General features: G+C 43.3%; 1 annotated feature.

Annotated features, from left to right (window-relative positions):
- Nucleotides 13842-13970: a silencer, noted in NCBI's record as "fragment chr15:27833083-27833211 (GRCh37/hg19 assembly coordinates)". NCBI's record gives its function as "represses an EF-1alpha promoter that drives an FKBP-Casp9 reporter gene in an ReSE screen in phorbol 12-myristate 13-acetate-treated (for megakaryocytic differentiation) K562 erythroleukemia cells {active_cell/tissue: K562(+PMA)}" and the evidence as "EXISTENCE:reporter gene assay evidence [ECO:0000049][PMID:32094911]".

The raw sequence follows: 19816 nt of genomic DNA, 5'->3' as shown, positions 1-19816 counted from the left end.
AGAGCTTATGGAAACAGAAAGCTGCGACTATTCCTAACGCTTTCAAGTCTTCTTCACATCTCAGGAAGTCGCAGCTGGGCACACTCTGCTGTGCTGGAGAGAGCTCTTGCTGTCTCTGCCTGGCTCAACACCAAGGCTCAGTGCCTCGTGCACACAATACACATGCATACCCTATGTAAGCTCTCGCAGTCAGAGGCCACTCCTCTGCCTTCTCATTGTGCAAACATCCCCTTGTTTCCCATGCACCAAGTTAAGATGCCTCAGTGTCTGCCTCTTGCTGTCCTACCCTGAGGCCTCCGGGCACCCTGTCTTCCTCCTCTTAGGTAATTTTCTTCTTTCCCTGCGTCAGCCAGCCTCCCTGAGGGACCGCAGCTCCACTGCTTATGGTCAGTTTCCCTGATGCAACCACCCCGCATGGATCCACACCAGCTAACTCATGGCCCAGCTGGTGCACCTCCAGCTTGGGCTTCAGCCTTGCGGTTGTTTCAACCTGGTTTTGTCATGTCGGCCTTCTCACCACAGGACCTTTGCAGGTGCTGATCCTCCTTCCGTTCCCATCTGGCTGTGCTTCATTCTCTCTCACATCCTGAGGTCTCAGCTTGGACAGTGGCATCTTGCTGATCTCCCAGACAGGGTCCACCCTCTGATGGCAGGACTTCAGGGTCTTATATCTCTCTGTGTCAGTTGCCATTGTTGGGGTTGTACCTGTGTTTTTGTTATTATTTTATTGAGTCCATAAGTGATGGGCGATCTGAGGGCAGGAGCTGGGCTGCTCTGCTGGCCATCACGGATTCGGTGCCCAGCACACCCTGGGGAAGGTGCACAGTGCAGGCCACATGGCGCTCACATGGGAGTCCTGGTGTGCATGCCCCTGGGAAGAAGTCACCTTGGAATGCTTCCCCCACTCCCAACAGGAGGGCACTGACATTGCTCTGCATTCTTTTTTATGTATTGACTTTACTTTTGTCAGTGCATTGGGGTCTCTGCTGAGGTCCCCTTGCTTGAGGCCAAAAACCTCAGGACTCCTCTGAGACCCTCCTGGGGTCCCTCAGCTAGCCCCGCCCCTGCCAGGCCAGCTCCCTGTGAGCACATGTACATCCCTGTAATTGGCCTGTGAGCATGAATGTTGCTCCTTGCTTATGACAGTGTCCCTAGGCGTGTAGTAAGTACTCAGCTACCCCTGAGAAAGAAAATAAGAGTCAAGAGAAGGGACCTTCTGGGAGGCCGTTTGAAGCTGGTAACCAGCTGACAGCATTCCCTCTCCTGGACCAGGAGGCCAGGAAGTCTACCTGAGTAGAGGATGCCATCGGCCTACATCACAGGCAAGGAACCTGGAAATTCACAACTGTTCTTGGAGCTAAGAAAACTATCAGGCATGTCCAAGCTGGTTGGCTTCCTTCGGTATGGAAATGCTGTGCATATTACCCTAATCTTAAACTCTAATTTTTTAATTTTTATTTTTTGGGCTAAGCAACAGGAGTTAATTGCCTTCCAGTTCAGAGCCTGGAAGTCCAAGATCAAGTTGTTGCCAAGGTTGGTTCCTTCTGAGGGCTGCAAAGGCAAAACTGTCCCAGGCTTCCTTCCTAGTTTCCTTTTTGTTTTTTTTTTTGTTTGTTTTTAATTGATGCATAATATTTGTACATTTCTGTGGGAAATAGCATGATGTTTTGATACATGTATACGTTATGTCATGATCATAGTACTTAGCATAATCATTACCTCGACATTTTCTTTTGTGGTGAGAACATTCAGAATCTTCTTCTGTTGAAATACGCACGGTAACATTACTTTCTATAGTCACCGTGCTGTGCCATAGAACACTGGAACTTATTCCTCCCATCTTCCCATCTAACTGTACTTGTGTACGTGTTCACCAATCTCTCTCCCCATTGTCTCCTCTGCCTACCCTTCTCGGCCTCTGGTAACCCATATTCCACCCTGTCCGTCTATGAGCTCAATGTTTATAGATTCCACAAGTGAGTGAGGACATGGAGTGTTTCTCGTTCTGTGCCTGGCTTATTCCGCTTGACAGAATGTCCTCCTGGTTCATCCATGTTGCTGCAAATGACCAGATTTCATTCTTTTTAATGGCTGAGTAGTATCCATTGTGTATACATGCCACATATACTCTATGTTGAAAGCTTTTTGTAAATACGAGCTAGCTGTAAACCATGTCTCTGGCGTCAGTCCCTCCTGGCGGCTGCTCCAAGGTGTTGGCCCTGATGTGCTGTGTTCCCTTCATGACACCGCAGGTGTCCAGAGGCTCACAGTGAGCGCGGGACATGTGCTGCATGTCAAGCCTTCTATTCCCATTATTGCTCCATTAGCTCTCTCTAGGTCCCCATGTACCCCCGTAGCTACTCCCCTTGTGTGGCACTTACCTTTTCATGGTCCGTTTTTACAGAGTTTTCCTTGGCTGCCAATGGGGAAGAAATACTGCATTTCCTTCCCTTGTTCACTTGGCTTGAGGCAGAGCACTGGCCTGTGGGAGCTGCCCTTCCCTCCCAGTCTTCTCTAATTGCCACTCCACCATGGCCTGGTGGAGTGTCAGGGAAAATGACATTCAAGGCGGCGGCAGCAGCACTCTCCTTTGCTTTTCCAATTAACACTGTACCGTTGCCTAGTGGAACAAGAGGGACATGAATCAAGGGCTTAGCACGTTGCCGGGCAGGCACGTGACCCTCTCTGCAGCAGCAAACTGATGACTGTGATTGGCTCTGGGCATGCTGGTCCTGCTTCTGACTGGAGGCATGAGGACTGTAGGAGCATGCATAGTGTTCAAAGGGGAAAGAGCCGTCTTTGACTGGCTCGTTTTAAGAAGCCAGTACTTGCTGAAACATTATTTTGCTCATTTTTGCTGGGCCCTGTTCCTTTGAGATCCATAAATAATCGTGATGTGGCTCTCATTCTATACTGACCGTTTCTGCTCCCCACTGGGAGGTGGAGTGTGGCAGCAGATTAGGTAACAGATTTTAGCCTTGGTGCCCAGGATAGTGATCCTCACTGAGCCCATCCTGGTCAGGCCTGCCTGATTGTTTCGGGCCCTCTGCTCACCCAGACACAGGCCATGAAAGCTTGGTTAATGATTGTCCAATTGAACCCTACTGCTGCAGCTGTACTGTGAATTCGAGGCCAATTTTCTTCCTGCTGTAGACGAAATGCTGATGAAATACGGACATTTTGCAAGGATATTGGTTTTATGCATCGTAGCAACAGCTTGAAAGATATTGGTTTTCTCTTCAATTCTAGCCTGCTCTGAATATAATTTGGCAAAGCCTTTCTCAAATGCACCCCTTTGTGTATGCAGTTAAATCTATAGTTATATCTGGAAAGCTTAAGTGTGGTTTAAGGCTCCAATTGGTATTATGTGCTGTCTTGACACGTGGTAAAATCAGGAGGAGCTTGTATGGCCTCACTGCAAGGTCCTCTCCCTATTCTTCTCCCATGGATAAGTTCTCAATGCTAGACAACCCAGCTTATCTCGGGGACCAGGCACCACCCTCCTCATCTCTGAGTAGCGGGCTTCAGCTCCCTGCAGCCCATGGAATTATTCAAACAAGCCCATCACATCCTCCCGTGGGAACTAGGGTCCCCTCACCCTCCTGTTACAACAAAGCCTGCCTCCCACAGCCCCTGGTGGTCCACTCTGTTCCCAAGAGAAACCTGCGTCTGGCTGTGCACGGCATGTGGTGTCTCCCATGCTCTGGGATGTGTGTGTGACTAATAAATTGCTGTCTGTCTCTTGTGTCCAGGGTTAGTGTCCTGGATCCAGCCATCCCCATAACCCTAGAATGGGAATCTCCCCCTTCATGAGGTAAGAAGTAGATGATCAAAAGGATGGCCCACCCATTCCCAAGGAGGCTTGGTCAGCTTTTACTAGCTTTTCTCGGCTATACAACCAATCCGTGATACAGTGAAGGCCTCCTGGGATGGGCCCACCAATGGCTGATGGACTTGTGCTTTGGCCTGCATGGCCTTGTCCTGTCTGTCAGGTGTTATCTCTTTCCCCCCATCGTAAAGCGCTCTCATCCCCAAGGCTAGGGTGCTAGTTAATGGACGCCACCCCAGTGTGATGTGCACCCAGGCTCATCCAGTGTGTGGCAGGCGATCAACACCTGCACGGGACTTAACATGTGTGTCCCTCCAAAACCTGTATGTTGAAATCCTAACCTCCAAGGTGATGGTATTAGGAGGTGGGGTCTTTGGGTGGTGATTAGGTCATGAGGATGAAGCCCCCAAAATGGAATTACTGCCCCTATGTCAGGAACAGAGAGCTCTGTGGCTCTGCCCACTGTGTGAGGACACAGTGAGAAGGTGCCATTCTGTGAACCAGGCAGTCCACACTCACCAGACACTGAATCTGCCAGCCCCTTGACTGTGAACTTCCCAGCCTCATGAACTATGAGGAATACATTTTTGTTGTTTGTAATCCCCTTGGTCTATTGCATTTTGTTACAGCAGCTGAATAGACTAAGACAGCACCCAAACCAGTCATCACTTGAGCCCCCCGTACCATGGTCTGGTTAAGCTCTCTGGGTGCACGTTTAGCCTCATGGCAGCTTTGAACAACATACGAACAGTGTCTGTGATTGTACACCCCACAACAGGCCGGGGAGGGCCCTTTGTGAGGTTTGAAGATGGACTGGAATCACCACTCCAGGGAGAGTTTAGTATGGCCCCCTGGTTGTTGTTCAGGTAAGACCCTGATGGTCTTCTGCTTCTCCTTCTATTGTTCCCGTTCTCCTGACCCCCAGGGATACTGAGGTGTACCTCCACGTCAGTGCATGGTCCAGCACTGATGATGAAAAAGGCTGGGGAGCATGTAGAGCATGTAGTAGCCAGCTGCTCTCTCAACCTTAAAGCCCCAGCCAGTGTGCCCAGGCTTTGTGCAGGATTGCTGCTCCCCAGCATGTCGAAGGGCTAACCGTGAGATCCGGGGACTGATGACCACCACCTGTGTCATAGATAAAAAGGTCTCACTGGATGCGGACCTCAAGCCCAGGGATATTGACTGACCTTCCTGGAGAAAGAAGTGGGCCATCAGGACCTCAGAGCTCTCCCATAACCACCCAGAAATCCTCAGTGCAAGTGATTTGGAGGAAGGCAGAAACCAAAAGCTGTGACAAAACCATTAAATTAATAGAAAGGTCCACAATTTAGTTCAATTGGAAATCTGACATTTTCTAAAAGAATGTATAAAGCAAGGCAATAGAAGGACACCATTGATTTTTGCACCACTACAACAGAAGTTCTTAGTTAATTTTAACATCTGCTAAAATGTACCAATTGACATGTTATGTACTTTTTAAAACCACCTGCTAAACTGTTTTCCACAGTGGTTACACCATTTCGTGTTTCCACCAGCAGTGTCCGAAGGATCCCATTCCTCTGCATCCTCACCAGCATTTGGTGTTGTCACTCTTTTTCATTTCTGTCATTCTGGTAGAGGTCCTGGCATCCAGCAGGAAGGAACAAGAGTCCCAGGTCCCCCTGAATGCCTATCTTTGCATTCACTGGCTCTGATCTAGTCATATGGTTATCCTTGAAGCAATTCAGTCTCCAGTCTTGGGTGCACATGGGCTGAGAGTCAAGGTGCATTTCTTTTCCCAGAGGAAAAGATGAATGTGATTCCCAGAAAATAAATGAATGCTGAAGGCCAAGGAACAAAACAAACAGAAAAACATGGGTTTTTTTCTTACCATACCCAGTTCACAGCCTCCCTCAGTGAGTGCTGTTGTAAAGGGCTTAGTCCCTAGTGGATGTGCTGAACCATACACAATCCTGGAATTGGGAAACACAGAATGCCCTGGCCGCTTGAGGTGCTGGGGTAGCTTCTGGGGAGGCAGGTGATAAGAACTTAGTCTAGCTTCTACCGTGGAGAAATCGTCAGGCCCGTCAGTGAGACAGAGCGGAGAACGGGCCCCAGGGAGGTGCTTTTTCATTTGATGATGAGGGTGCTGTCTGGAAGGGCTTCCTTCTAATGACAGATTGAATATGTGCAGCTGGAGTCTCTACACGCGTGTGATTGTCCAGGTACATTTCCCAACAGTTTCTTACATTGAAAAAATCATTTAAACTCCTAATATTCTCACCAGCTTTAGATCATCTTGTTCCTCTGAAGTTTTTAGTTTCTTTACTGATGTGGCCAAAAATAATGATGGATTCATATAGAGTGACCAATAGTTCATATGTTTTTGTCACTTTTAAGGGGATATGTTGTCATCATGTCTTCACCTGAAAATTACCTTCCTGAGAGATTGTTTAGAAAAATTCAAGCTCCAGATTCTGGCCAGAAATGTTTATCGTGTGGTTCATTTATTTTGTTTATAAGACTGTTTGTCTTTTATGGAAACAGCTCAGATGAGTCCCTTGGACTCAACTTACATGGCCAACTAGCCACAGCCTCCGCAGGGAGTCAGCTTGTTAATTCAGTGTTAGCCACTGGAAGCATGCGAGCACGTGCACCTCACAGCAGTGGTTATTTTGAGACTTCTGAGTGAATTTAGTTAAACCTCCTCGAGCCGCCTCAGGGGGATTTTTTTTCAAACTATGGTGAGACTAGAGAAATTGTTTCAATTTTCAACAACAACCCGCTAGAGAAAAGATGTTTCCTACAATCTTGAATTAGATCTGTCAAATCCAGTAAGTCCTGGGAGAAGTGTTCAGTTACACCTATTTGTGAGTTTCTAGGACGCTCTCCAGGATTACAATACGTGTTCTTTAAACTGGATTCTCTAAAGGGAGGTGAGCAGCTCTGTACTTTGAGATGGCCCTTAGAGGAAACGAATGCATATCTAGGTACTTGATTTGTGGGTATGGTTAACTAATCAAGGGTGCACCTACCCTATTCATGAAAAGAAAGGAAAGTTAGGGACTTGCCATTTGTACCCAGATGGTGTTTTGCTCTGTACCTGATGCATTGCTTGGGTGTTCAGGAAAGGAACAGGATAGGCTATTAAAGCCTGCATTTCCTGCCTCAGAGCACGCTAAGCACCTTGGTTTCTACCACCAACCATAGATATTTCTCCTCTACTATAAACATACATTCAACCCTGTGAATAATAAGACTATGCATATAATCTATCCGCCATTTCTGACATAAGGCTCCTAAAACCCTTGTAGATAGAGATATTAGGAGAATCTTTTGTTCTAATATTTGGTTTTTGAAGCCAGTTCCTGGCACAAATCTCCTAAATCCCTTGAAATGTCCTGGGTGACTGGAGGATCTCTTGTTCTTTTTTTTTTCTTTTTTTTTCAGATGGAGTTTTGCTCTTGTTGCCCAGGCTGGAGTGCAATGGCACAATCTCTGCTCACTGCAACCTCCACCTCCTGGGTTCAAGTGATTCTCTTGCCTCAGCCTCCTGAGTAGCTGGAATTACAGGCATGCACCACCATGCCCAGCTAATTTTGTATTTTTAGTAGAGACGGGGTTTCTCCACGTTGGTCAGGCTGGTCTCGAAGTTCAGACCTCAGGAGGTGATCTGCCCACCTTGGCCTCCCAAAGTGCTGGGATTACAGGCGTGAGCCACCGCGCCCGGCCGCATCTCTTGCTCTTAGGCAACTCTTCATGGTTCCTGGATAGGCACTGGTCACCAGAAAGTCCAAGCCGTGATTAGAAGCTTGGAGCTTTCAATTTCCTCCTTCCACCATCCTCAGGGAAAGGGAGAAACACGGAGTTTGAGTTAATAATCTGTCATACCTAGATGATGAAGCCTCCATAAGAATCCCTGAACAATGGGATTCTGGGAGCTTTTGGGATGCTGCAGACATCCACATGTTGTGAGGTGGTCATGCAACCCAAATCCACTGGGACAGAGGCTGCTGTGCTTGGAACCCTTCCAAACCTCACCCTATGTATCTCTTCACCTAGCTGTTGATTTGCATGCTTTATAATAAACCAATAATAGTAATGTTTGCCTAAGTTCAGTGAGCCTCCATTGCTATGGATAATTTGCTATTATCAGACATAAAGTGGGTGCTGTGGGGACCTCCGACTTGTAAGCAAGTCAGACAGAAGTTGCAGGTAGCCTAGGGTCCTGCTGTTTGTGACTGGCGTCTGAAGTGGGGGAAGCTTTGTGAACCTGAGCCCTTAACCTGCAGGATCTGATGCTATCACAAGGAGATAGCACCAGAATTGAGTTAAACTGTAAGATGCCCTGCCGGTGTCCACAGAGAATTGAGGAATTGCTTGGTGTGGCAGATACTTACATAACTGATGTCAGATGTGACGTATGGAGAGTGCAGAGAGTATAGTAAGAGGAGGAAATGATTTGCTTTTTTCCTCTATACACACCCGAAAACATTATCTGTGCTGAAATACACACTGCCTGCTCACGCGTGCTTGGGTGTGGGTGGTCATACTGAATGCCCCAGTGGCATTCAGCAGCCACTGCAGTGCTGGAGATGCAAGCACGTTCTGCTTGTCCTGATTGCTGGAAAGATTGCTCTTCCTCACGTGCTCGCCTTTCTCTCTTACTCTCTAGCAAACTCCCTTCACTCGCCAGCCCACCCCTCACCTCAACTTTACCCTGCTTCCTGCAGGCACATCGGCTTCCCCCTCTACTTTCCTCTCTCTCCACATTCTGGCAACTCTTAACCGGCACCACTCACCTCTCATGGAAAAATACATGGACTTTAGAAGTCCTCAGGCACTTGGCATAATGCAGGTAAGTCTGTTTCTGTTCAGCTTTTGCCCAAGAGAGACAAAGCACCACCTTTCCACACAGTCAGGAAATCCAATGGAAACCAACACAGAGTGATTCTCAAAATATATTCACCCTTGGGTCTGGGCTTGAGCTATGCTCTTTCTCCTTTCCTCCTCTGGCTTAGCACTATCCTGTGTCTTCATCACCCACAACTGCACCGGGGGCACCAGGTTGAGCTGCCCTGATGCTCACCTGACACATGTGCACTGCTTTTAAAGGTGCCCTTGAATACTGCTGAGACCTGAAAATGCTTTAGAGAAAAACAATGCTTTCATACCATCAATTGGATTGGGACTGTGGACAGGTCCCACTGTGTTGTGGGTCTTTGGAGTTCTTTTTTACAGAGAAGCAGCCTCACTGAGGTTTCAACTTTCTTAATCTCAAGATGCCTTTGTTGATTACATTTTCTTGCCACAGTCAGTGATGTTAGCAATATGGTTTCAGTTTCCTTTGGGTAGCTTCTCTGGGCATATGTGGATGATATCTGTGATTATGCTTGACATTAAAAAATCTGGCATCAAATTATGTACGTTTTGACAAGCAGTTGACATTCTAACTCTGACATCAGATTTCGCAAAGAGAGCTTTAAAAATATTCTAATATAAGACAAGCACCATGAGGTTAGCCTGAGCCTGGGCATGAGCCTAAAGCAAAACTCAATGCTGCGTGAATGGAGCTGTCCAAGGTCTCCAAACATGAGGTCTCTCTTCATACACAGCCTTGACAGCAACATCCTCACTAGAATCTCAAGAGATTTGTCCTGCTTCCCTGATTACTTGTACTCTGGGAATTTGCCTCTATCTTTTCTTTGGAAGTTTAAGGGTTCTGTCATTGAATACACATGTGCCTTTGTGAGGGGCATGTAGTTTTTCATGATGATACTCAAAGGCTACTGAAAGGCTTGACTGCATGTTGCTATAATTTTGTCAGATAAGCATATCATTGTCATGCTAAGAAGTGTGAAGCAATACCCTACCAGCCTTTGCCTGCCTTGAGAAGTGCAACAGGCCCAGTGAATATTCAGTAGAGCACCCACTTTTCCTTTTTATTTGGATCTCCTCCCCTCTTCCTTTTTCACTCAAACTTTGGAGTAAAGATATTAGAAAATATCCATGGCAGAGACTGGCTAGTCATTCACTAGAGCCTCTGATGCTGGGTACACAAGACTGGGTTTTAGTGCTTCCCTTGAGATGTGGCTGAGTTCCAACCTGTGAAATGCAGGACAGTGGGATGTGCATCAACTTCAGGAATAGCCTATGAAAATTACCCACTAATTTTCATTCTTTCTCCTAATACAGGTGCAGATTATTCTCCACTTGTCCCGTTAGGTTGATCCTGCACTCTGCTGCGTGTGGGAGGCTGACATTTCGACTGCATCACTGGGTTTCCTTGCATGCTGGCTTCAGGGTGGATTCAGACAATGGGCATCAGCAGGAAACTGTGGGTTGGTATAGAGATAAAGATGTCAGGCTGATCTGATCTTGCCTGACTGTGGGTCTGGCAGTGGTTGTGTTCCTCTATGGCCACAGCTCCTGTTGGATAGGTTTCCATGGCTCCAGCTCTCCCCAGCCTCTGGTGAAAACACTTCCTCCTCTTGTCACTCCAAGCCAAAATTGTCATTGTCCTAACTGTTGCTATGCCTGGGCATCTCTCAGCCTTATCATCCCTTATTGGAGCATTATTTGTACTTATGCCTTATAAACTGCTTTTCCAACCAATGATCTGCACTTGGATGCTTTGTGGGTACCATCTGTTTCTTGCCCAGATCCTGATTTATACAGTAATTGGAACAAGGAGTAGCCCCAGAAATATATCCTCAGTAGGAGACTCCAGAATTAGGTTGTTGACATACCTGGTGAGTGGTCACAGGATATTTTTGCTGGGGGAAAGACATGCTGGGGATTCACCATGTGCAGTGGGGTGCTGGAAGTGGCCAGGCCAGGGCAGCCCAGTGCACAGTAGCTGTTGTGATAATGGAGGGTCTGCAGTCATGGGCCACCTGCTGCAACAGTTCCAGAGAGCTATGACAGTTTAATCCAAGCTTAAGAATTGAACACCTGATTTAAGGCACAAGAGGAATTGTGAAGAAACCCTCACAGAGGTCACAAAGGAATACTGTACCTCCTACAGCCAAAGCAGGTGTGGCTGAAGCGCAGGCCCAAGGCAGACAGTTGGAACCAGTCCCCTTTGTTACAGTAGAGGCCATGATTGAAAAGGAGTAGGCTTAAGATGGGGACAGTTGGACAAACAGATGAAATCTTTGAACCTCTATTCCTGGAATGTCTTTGCTGCAGAACCAGCCTTGCCTCTTTGATCAGGGAAGCCAGCGTTCCCTTCCACACTGCTTGTCACTGCAAACAAGGTGGAGCATGTGATGTGTCAAAGATGGGGAAACGAAAACAAGAGTGGAGATTATGCTCATCTAGCATGAAGGGAAGGAAGGAGGCCAGTGGCAGCTTATGCTTTTTGATCTGAATCAAATGGCAGTGTAGAAAAGAAGACCCAGGAACCAAAGACACATGTTTCTCAGAATTGCCAGTTCAAGCATGGAAATTCTGGGACTATCAACAATGATCATTATTTATCTACAGCCAATATCTCCAAAATTGTGTGTTCTCAATATCACCTTCTGACGCTTAGCTGTATGTGACATCTGCTCTCTGCAGAGCTTCACTACTCATCTTAGGGTTTAAAGGCATTATCTCTGCCCTTAGAGTAGATGGTACTAGTGGAAGAAGTGAGATGCGGAGGTTCAGATGTGCGGTGGAGCCAGTGGAATGGTACCAGTGGTGAGGAAGTCTTTTCTGGCTGCCTCAGCTGGGAGTGGTTTCACTCTTCTCCAGAACTTGTGCTAGTAGCACTCATTTTTCTTCCTAGCATGGAAAGACGGTTTCTGCTGTCAGCAGTCAAATCTCTCCAATGCAAACCTCTGCTTCACATGGAAGGCAATAGTCTGTTAGCAGAATGACATCCACTTATAATTAATGACGTGGAACAAAGGTTGAGCTGTGCTAATATGATGTCCCATGAAGAGTATAAGCTGGAGTCTGAGTGTGAGTGTGTATGTGAATGAGTGTGGGTGTGTGAGTGTGTATGTGAATAAGTGTGTGTGAATGAGTGTGAGAGTGTGTGAGTGTGTGAATAAGTATGTGTGTGAATGTGTGATGGTTTGTGTTTCTATGAGCATGTGAGTGTGAATGTGTGTGAGTGGAGTGTGTATTAGTGTGTGTGATGTGTGTGAGCAGAGTGTGTTTCTGAGTGTATGAGGGTGTGTGTATCTGAATGTCAGTGTGTGTGTAAGAGGGTTTGTGTGTGTGACTGCATGTGTGTGAATGTGAGTGTGAGCATGTGTGTGTGGAGTGTGTGTCTCAGTGTGAGTGTGTGAGTGGGTGCGTGGTTGGGAGTGTGTGGGAGTCTGTATGTGTGCGTGAGTGTGTGTTAGTGCGTGTGTTAGTGTGTGTATGTGTTTGCATCCACAGATAAACAGAATACTCAACAATATGGAAAATGTAGTTACGTCTGACTGATGGTTTTTGAGAGTGAGTTTTACACAATTCCTTAGTTTTCTTAGCAGCAGCATGAATTTGCCACCTGAGATTGTGCTATCTTTATATCACAACAAGCGATTAATGTTACTTTCACTTTGAAAATAAAAAGAAGAAACCTGCGTCTTTCCCATGCTGGGTTTCTGCAGCTGTGTGCCACCTGGCGATGCCTCAGAGGCTGCCGGCCGCAGGAGGCCACCCCAGCTGCTCTGTGCAGAAGGCAGGGACACAAAACAAGACTGCAGACACTCGCTGCTTCTCCAACGAGGAGGTGGTTGGTATTGTGTCCGACGGGTAGACAGTCCTTTTTCACTCACCTAGGAGGCCTTCTGATGCTTGAGGACAACAGGGAGTGTATCTGGCCTCATTCCTTGCACCATCAGGGTTGGCACAGAAGATGGCACAGGGTGCATGTCCAAAAAATGCCTCGATGCAACCCCTGCCGCCTTGTCACAGAGCCCTGATATTGTTGAGGGATGGGTGAGCAGTGGGGGGAGCTGGAAAGATACAGGAAATAGAAGTTATTGAACGACCAAAGATAAAAATGAGGAAGGAAATTAAGAAAAAGATGAACAGGACCAAAGTTTGCTCTCCAAACACTTCATCAAGTGCTTCCTTTGATGCCCTCACATTTAAATATGCTCTAATAGCTTCGTTGAAAAGCAAAATAACTAGAATACATGTCGGTGCTTTCACTTGTTGGCTAACAGGGAATTTTGCTAACATGAAAGGAAAGTAACAGTTCAATTTATGTTTCCCTGGACAGTCAATCTCCACACTCTTCCCTCATCTATGGCTATCCTTTCTGAGTATAAAATAGAGGGATGATACAGTATAAAACATATAGAATTTAATAAGGAAAATGAAAATTTTTGTATTTCCAGAACTCACACATAGTTACAATATGTAGATATAATATTTTCTATATTTTACATACATAGTCTACATTCTCTTTCTAATTTTGCATCTATCTTTTTTTGAAACAACATAAAAGGATTTTTGTTACTGAGCATTATAAAAGAAGAGTAAACATTATCATAAATTTTAAACAAAACTTTCCTAACTATATTATATTTTAATTCTGTGACTATAATTTATTAAAGCATTTTCCTGTTGGGAGGATTTTAAATAGTTATTTGCATTTTAAAATAATGCAACAAACATTAAAACATTTTGCTTTTTTTTAAACAGATTCTCAGAAGTAAAATTATGGCTCTCAAAATCATATAAATATTTATATGATTAGGAAAGTTATATTATTTATATTACAATAGTTGATACAAATTGCCAAATTGCTTTCCAACAGTTTGCAGCATTCATTCAGAATACTACCAACAAATATTTGAGTATCTCCTTTGTGTTAGACACTGAGCTAAGTAGCAGAAATACAATTGTGAACAAACACAGAAATAGTACCTGCTTTAAAAGTGCTGACAAGCTAATGAGAAAGACTGAAATTGAACAAATAGCCCTGCAAAAATGAGTATCACTGCCCGAGCTGTCTTGCAAGAGATGAGAGTGTGGTCCCGCCTCTCCTAACCCCAAGACTTTCTCGGTGGAAGTTAAAAGGATTACCTAAGATCTGAGCCATTGCAGCAGTCCCACCCCCTGAGGAGGTGTGGTCCCTACTGGCCTCGGGTAGGAGGGGACGATTCCGGGCTGCCTCTCATCCTCGCGGGCGTGGTCTCACAGGGAAGCCCAGGCCAGCCTTCCCACTCCTTTTCACCATATGGCTCTAGGTATCCTTTCCGAATCCCAACCCTCCGCCCTCTCCGAATCCTGAAGCCCTTCCACTGTACCTTCTGGAGTTCCTGGTCCGCCGGTAACTTTGTTTTATCCACCCAAACTGTTTCTCTGAATATTCTCTTCACCTTTTTGTGAGAATGAACACTCCCCCGCCCTGACCCTACCCTCATGAGAATCTGCTTCTCCTATGGCAGTCACTAATCCAGTGGTGGCTGTTGCTTTTCCCTCACCTGGGGTGCGCGCGTCACAGATGTTCTTGTTGCCATTCGTGGCCAGTTTTCTCCCCCCAGGAGCCTCCACTCTGCAACTCTTGCTCCCAGGCGAGGAAACCCACTGCTTCATTTCTGCAACAAGGAGTCTCAGTCCTTGTAAACTTTATCTCTGGCTCACTGTCATTCACTTCAAAACTATTCTTGCCATTATTTTATTTGCTTCCAAACATATCTATTATTCTATATTTAACTAGCTGGACAAAAGCCGTACCAAGAAAACAAAAGCATAAGAAAGCTGGGAAGGCTATTTAAAAATCAAATAAAAGAGACCTCAAGACAAGGAGTATTCCCAAAGATAGTGACATTTTATAGTTAGGAAAGGGTCAATTTTTTCAAGAAGACGTTGCGAATATTGATATGCATGCACTTAACCACAGAGTTTCAAAATGTGTAGAGCAAAAGCTAACAGAAATGAAAGGAGAAATTCACAAACCCAATTAATAGTAAAGATTTTAACATCTTCTGTCAGACACCTACAGAATCAATAGACCAATGTGTTCGTAAAAACGTGGATACGAAGAGCAGTCAGCCCGCTTGATGGATTGGATACTCGTAAAAAATACTGACCCCTCAAATTGCGGCTCAAGCACTTTCTTCCCAAGTGCACGTGGTTCACCAAGATAAACTTGGTAAAGTTAGAAAGACTGAAACCATACAGTGTGTCTTTTCTGCTCACAGTGAAATTAAATTAGAAATCAGTCATAAGATATCTAGAAGAGCACCAAAAATTACAAAAGAAATGAGACTGTATTTTGAACTGAGTGATAATGAAAATATATAAAAATCTGTTGATATGATAAAGCAATGTTGACAGAGAAATTTACAGCTTTAAACACTTGTATTAGAGCATGAATCTGCGAGTTAGAAAAGAGATAAGCAATAGTGAAAACAAAGCTAAAGCTGATTAATTTAAAATAGCAGCAAAACTGATTGGTACTTTCCTAGGTGGATAAATAGGAAGAGAAACACGGATTGTCTATCAGGAATGAAAGAGAGCCTAAAGACACAGCAAACATAATAAGCAAATATTAAGAAAAACTTTATAGCAACATTGTGAAAACATAGATGATATAGACAAATTCCTTTATAAATACAGCTGAGCAAAGCTAATACAAGATATTAGAGAAAATACGAATATCTCTGTGTTAATTAAAGGATTTGAAATCATTATGAAAATTCTCCCCACAAGCACATTCTGGGCCTAGAGAGTTTCGCTGGTAAATTTTACCACACATTAAAAGAAGGAATAGAACCGATTTTACACAGATACGTTCAGCGATAGCAAAACATTTCCTAACTCATTTTATGAAGCCAAAACAACCCTATTACCAAAAACTGAGACAGACATTGTAAAAATTAAAATTTTGGAAAAAAATCCCTCATAAACCTAGACACAAAAATATTTAACAAAGCAATAGCATATTGAATCTAGAAACATGTAAATGGGTATTGCCTCACGATCAACCAAGTAGGGTGGTTCCCAGGAGTACAGGTTTAACACTGAAAAATTTGTCAGTCTAGTTTGCCATAATAAAAAAATGGGAAAAACCCTTCTATGACCAATTTTAATGGAGCATAAAAGCATTTACAAGGAATTCAACAACCCAGCCAGGCGCAGTGGCTCATGCCTGTAATCCCAGCACTTTGGGAGGTTGAGGCAGGTGGATCACTTGAGGTCAGGAGTTTGAGACCAGCCTGGCCAACATGGTGAGACCCTGTCTCTACTAAAAATATAAAAATTAGCTGGGCGTGGTGGCACATGCCCGGAGTCCCAGCTACTCAGTAGGCTGAGGCAGGAGAATTGCTTAAACCCAGGAGGCGGAGGTTGCAGTGAGCCAAGATTGTGCCACTGCACTCCAGCCTAGCCTGGGCAACAGAGCCAGATTTCATCTAAAAAAAAATTTAACAACCCATTCATGACAAAAACACTTAGCAAACTAGGAATAGATGGGCACTTCATCATTAAGATGTAGGGCATCTACAAAAGTCCTACTGGCGACATCCCACTTTATGTTGAAATAACACTTTCCATCTGAAGGATGGAAGAAAAAGAAAGAACACTTCACATCATCACTTCCGTGTTGTACTGGAGCACTCGCCTTTGAAACAGAGTGAGCAATCAAAGGCATAAAGCTTGGACAGAAAGAAGAAGACTGTTTCTGTTTGCTAAAGGCATGATTATTTTGTAGTAAAATATAATAACATGAAGTTTCGATCATATTTAAGTTTACAATTCAGTGGCATTAAGTCCATTTATAATGTTGTGTAACCATTGCCAGTATCTATTTCCAGAAAAATGTCCATCACCCAACACAGAAACTCTGTAGCCATTAAAAATAACTCCAAAATTCTCCCACCCTCCCGCCCCTGGCAACTTCTATTCTTTCTGTCTCTGAATGTGCTTATCCTGACGTCTTCTATAAGTGGAATCATATGATGTTTGGCCTTCTGTGTTTGGCTTATTTCACTTAGTATAATGTCTTCAAGGTTCATCATGTTGTAGCATGTGTCAGAATTGCCTTCTTTATATACATAAATAATATTCCATTGTGAGAAATATATATATATATATCTGGCTATTTTTCTCCCCGTCAGGAGCCTCCACTCTGCAACGCTTGCTCTCAAGCAAGGAAACCCACTGCTTCATTTCTGCAACAATGACTCTCAGTCCTTGTAAACTTTATCTCATATATATGTGTGATATAGGTAATGTATATAATGGATAAGCAAAATGTGATATATATTATATATCACCTGCTGATGGGCATTTTGGTTGTTGATACCTTTTGGCTATGGTGAATAATGCTGCTATGAAGATGAACATAAAAATATGTTTTCAATTATTTGAGTATGCTTCTGGGTTTTATGATAATTCTAAGTTGAACATTTAAAGGAACCATCAAACCATTTTCCACAGTGGCTGCACCACTTCACACACCTGTCAGCAAAGGACAGGGGTTCGAATTTCTCCACATCCTTGCCAACACTTGTTTCCCATTTTTTGTTTGTATTTTTTGATAATAGTCATCCTACTGGGTGCAAAGTGATTTCTCATTATGGTTTTAATTGCATTTCCCTAATGACTAATGATGCTAAGCGTATTTCCATGTGTTTATTGGTCATTTGTATAACTTTGGAGAAATGTCCATTCAAGTCCTTTGTTCACTTTAAAATTTTCTTTTTATTGTTGTTGTTGCTCAGTTGTAGGAGTTCTTTGTATATTCTAGATATTAATCTCTTACTGGATATATGATTTGAAAATATTTTCTTTCATTCTGTGGGTTGTATTTTCACTCACCTGATAGTGTCCTTTGATGCACGAAAGTTCTTAATTTGAATGAAATCCAGTTTATTTTGGTCGTTTTTGTCTGTGTTTTTGGTGTCATTTTGAGGAAATCATCACCAAAACCAATGTTGTAAATATCTGTCTGTGTGTTTTCTACTAAAAGTTAGTTTTAGCTTTTCTATTTAGGTCTTTGATCCATTTTGAGTTAATTTTTGTATGTGGTACAAAGTAAGGCCCCAACTTCTTTTGTAGGTCGACATTGTTTTTCCTGCACCATTGTTGAACAGACTGTCCTTTCCCTGTTAAATGTTCTTGTGGCCTTGCCAAAAATCAAATGTGAAGGTTTACTTCTGAGCTCTCTATTTTATTCTGTTGCTACTGTATGTATCTGTCCTAATGTCAATAATCACACCATTTTGATTACTCTAGCTTTGTAGTAAATTTTGAAATCAGGAAGTGTGAGTCTGAACTTTGTTGTTCTTTTTCAAGATTGTTTTGGCAATTCTGGGCCCCTTGAGATTCCATATGAATTTTAGGATGGATTTTCCTATTTCTGCAAAACATACCACTGGGATTTTGCTAAGGAATGCACTTAGTATGTAAATATCTTTTGGCAATATGGTCATTTTGATAATGTTAAGTCTTCCAGTCCGTGAACAAGGAATGTGTTTCTATTTATTTAGATTGTCTTTAATTTCTTCCAGCAATGTTTTGTAGTTTTTGGTGTACAAAACTGCATTTCTTGGGTTTCACTTCCTTGGTTAAATTTATTCCTATTTTATTCTTGTTTGATGCTATTGTAAATGAAATTGTTTTCTTGATTTCTTTTTCATATTGTTCATTGCTAGTATATGAAATACAACTAATTTTGGCATGTTGATTTGTATCCTGCGACTTTGCTGAATTTATCAGCTGTACATACTTCCTTATGTGCAAGATAAGGGCTTTGGATCTGATAGTTACTGATGTCCTTCTAAGCATGAAAATTCTGTGATCTATGCTTAATTTATAGAAATTAGACATTTCTACCTTTTTAAAATTTAAAACTCATGGCTGTGCTTTACTTATAATTTGATTTTAAGTCTGTGATCTGGGATGCAATTCCAACAGCAACATTGTTTGCCAGGGAGGAAGTGGTCCAGATTCCAGCAGGCGTAATAAACACTCAGCTCGCAGGAATTCGAAAACACCAGTGTCGTGTTCTAGCAGCTAACATTTGTCATATAATATGTACAATATATGTTACATATAATAAATCCTACATCTTAACTAGATTTATAACTTTTTTGTTCTAAAACTTTGTGTCATAACAGCTAACATTGCTTTATATATACACCCGATTTTGAAAACATACTTGTTTTTGACTAATTGAATAAAATTTAATGTATTCTTAGCTAAATCCAGCTGACATCAGCAACTCATTTGAGACAGAATCCAAATGAGGTGAGATGTAACTTCATGAATAGAATGAGAGGGCTACTCTGCAGAGGAAATGGAATGGGTAACACACCAGCAGACTGGAGGAATTGCTGCCAACACTTTACAGGCAAGACCATCAAAGATGGAAAATGAATTCTCTAATTCTTCCCATTAACATTCAAACTGCAACCTTTAGAGGTGAGAAAAAGGCAATCGTTTACTTTGATGGGATTTAAAACGTCGGTGGCCACTTTAAACCATATTAGTAGGCCTGCTTTTTAAAGATTGGTTTATATTGATGTTAACAATTTTGTTTTATAATTTGTTATATGCTTCACTGCCTTCTTTTGAAGTGGGAAGATGAAATTTTCTCTTATAGATGACAAAAGCATCAGGAATAATTCAAATAAAGATGAGTCTGCTGCAAATCAGTGAAACATGACGATTGATCTTACCATTGTAGGCTTCAGGACTACTTATGGTGTAGAATTAGAGGCACTGCTGTAATTATTCGGGAATAAAATAGGGTCCATTGGCAGAGGGCTATGAGAAGAAGGGAGGAAGGGAGATTGCAGATGGCAGGTGGCTGGGCATGCTCTATGCCCTGCTAATTTTTATCCTTGTCTTTGGCAGAAGGGTCATTTTAGGTTTTACTCCTCCTTTATTAAGTGTGTGTGTGTGTGTGTGTGTGTGTACACATGCACGTGCATGCACATGAGTATATTTTATTGTTTTGTAAATTTCAAGTTCTATAAGTGGAAAGTGGCATGCTTGTTTTTGATTAGGCTTTCATATTTTGGTAAGTATGCCCACCTGATGCAACTGACCTCCTGATTGTTCTTA

Source organism: Homo sapiens, chromosome 15 (assembly GCF_000001405.40).
Source record: "Homo sapiens chromosome 15, GRCh38.p14 Primary Assembly".
NCBI classification, from domain to species: Eukaryota; Metazoa; Chordata; class Mammalia; order Primates; family Hominidae; genus Homo; species Homo sapiens.
This window is presented reverse-complemented; position numbering and strand designations above follow the sequence as displayed.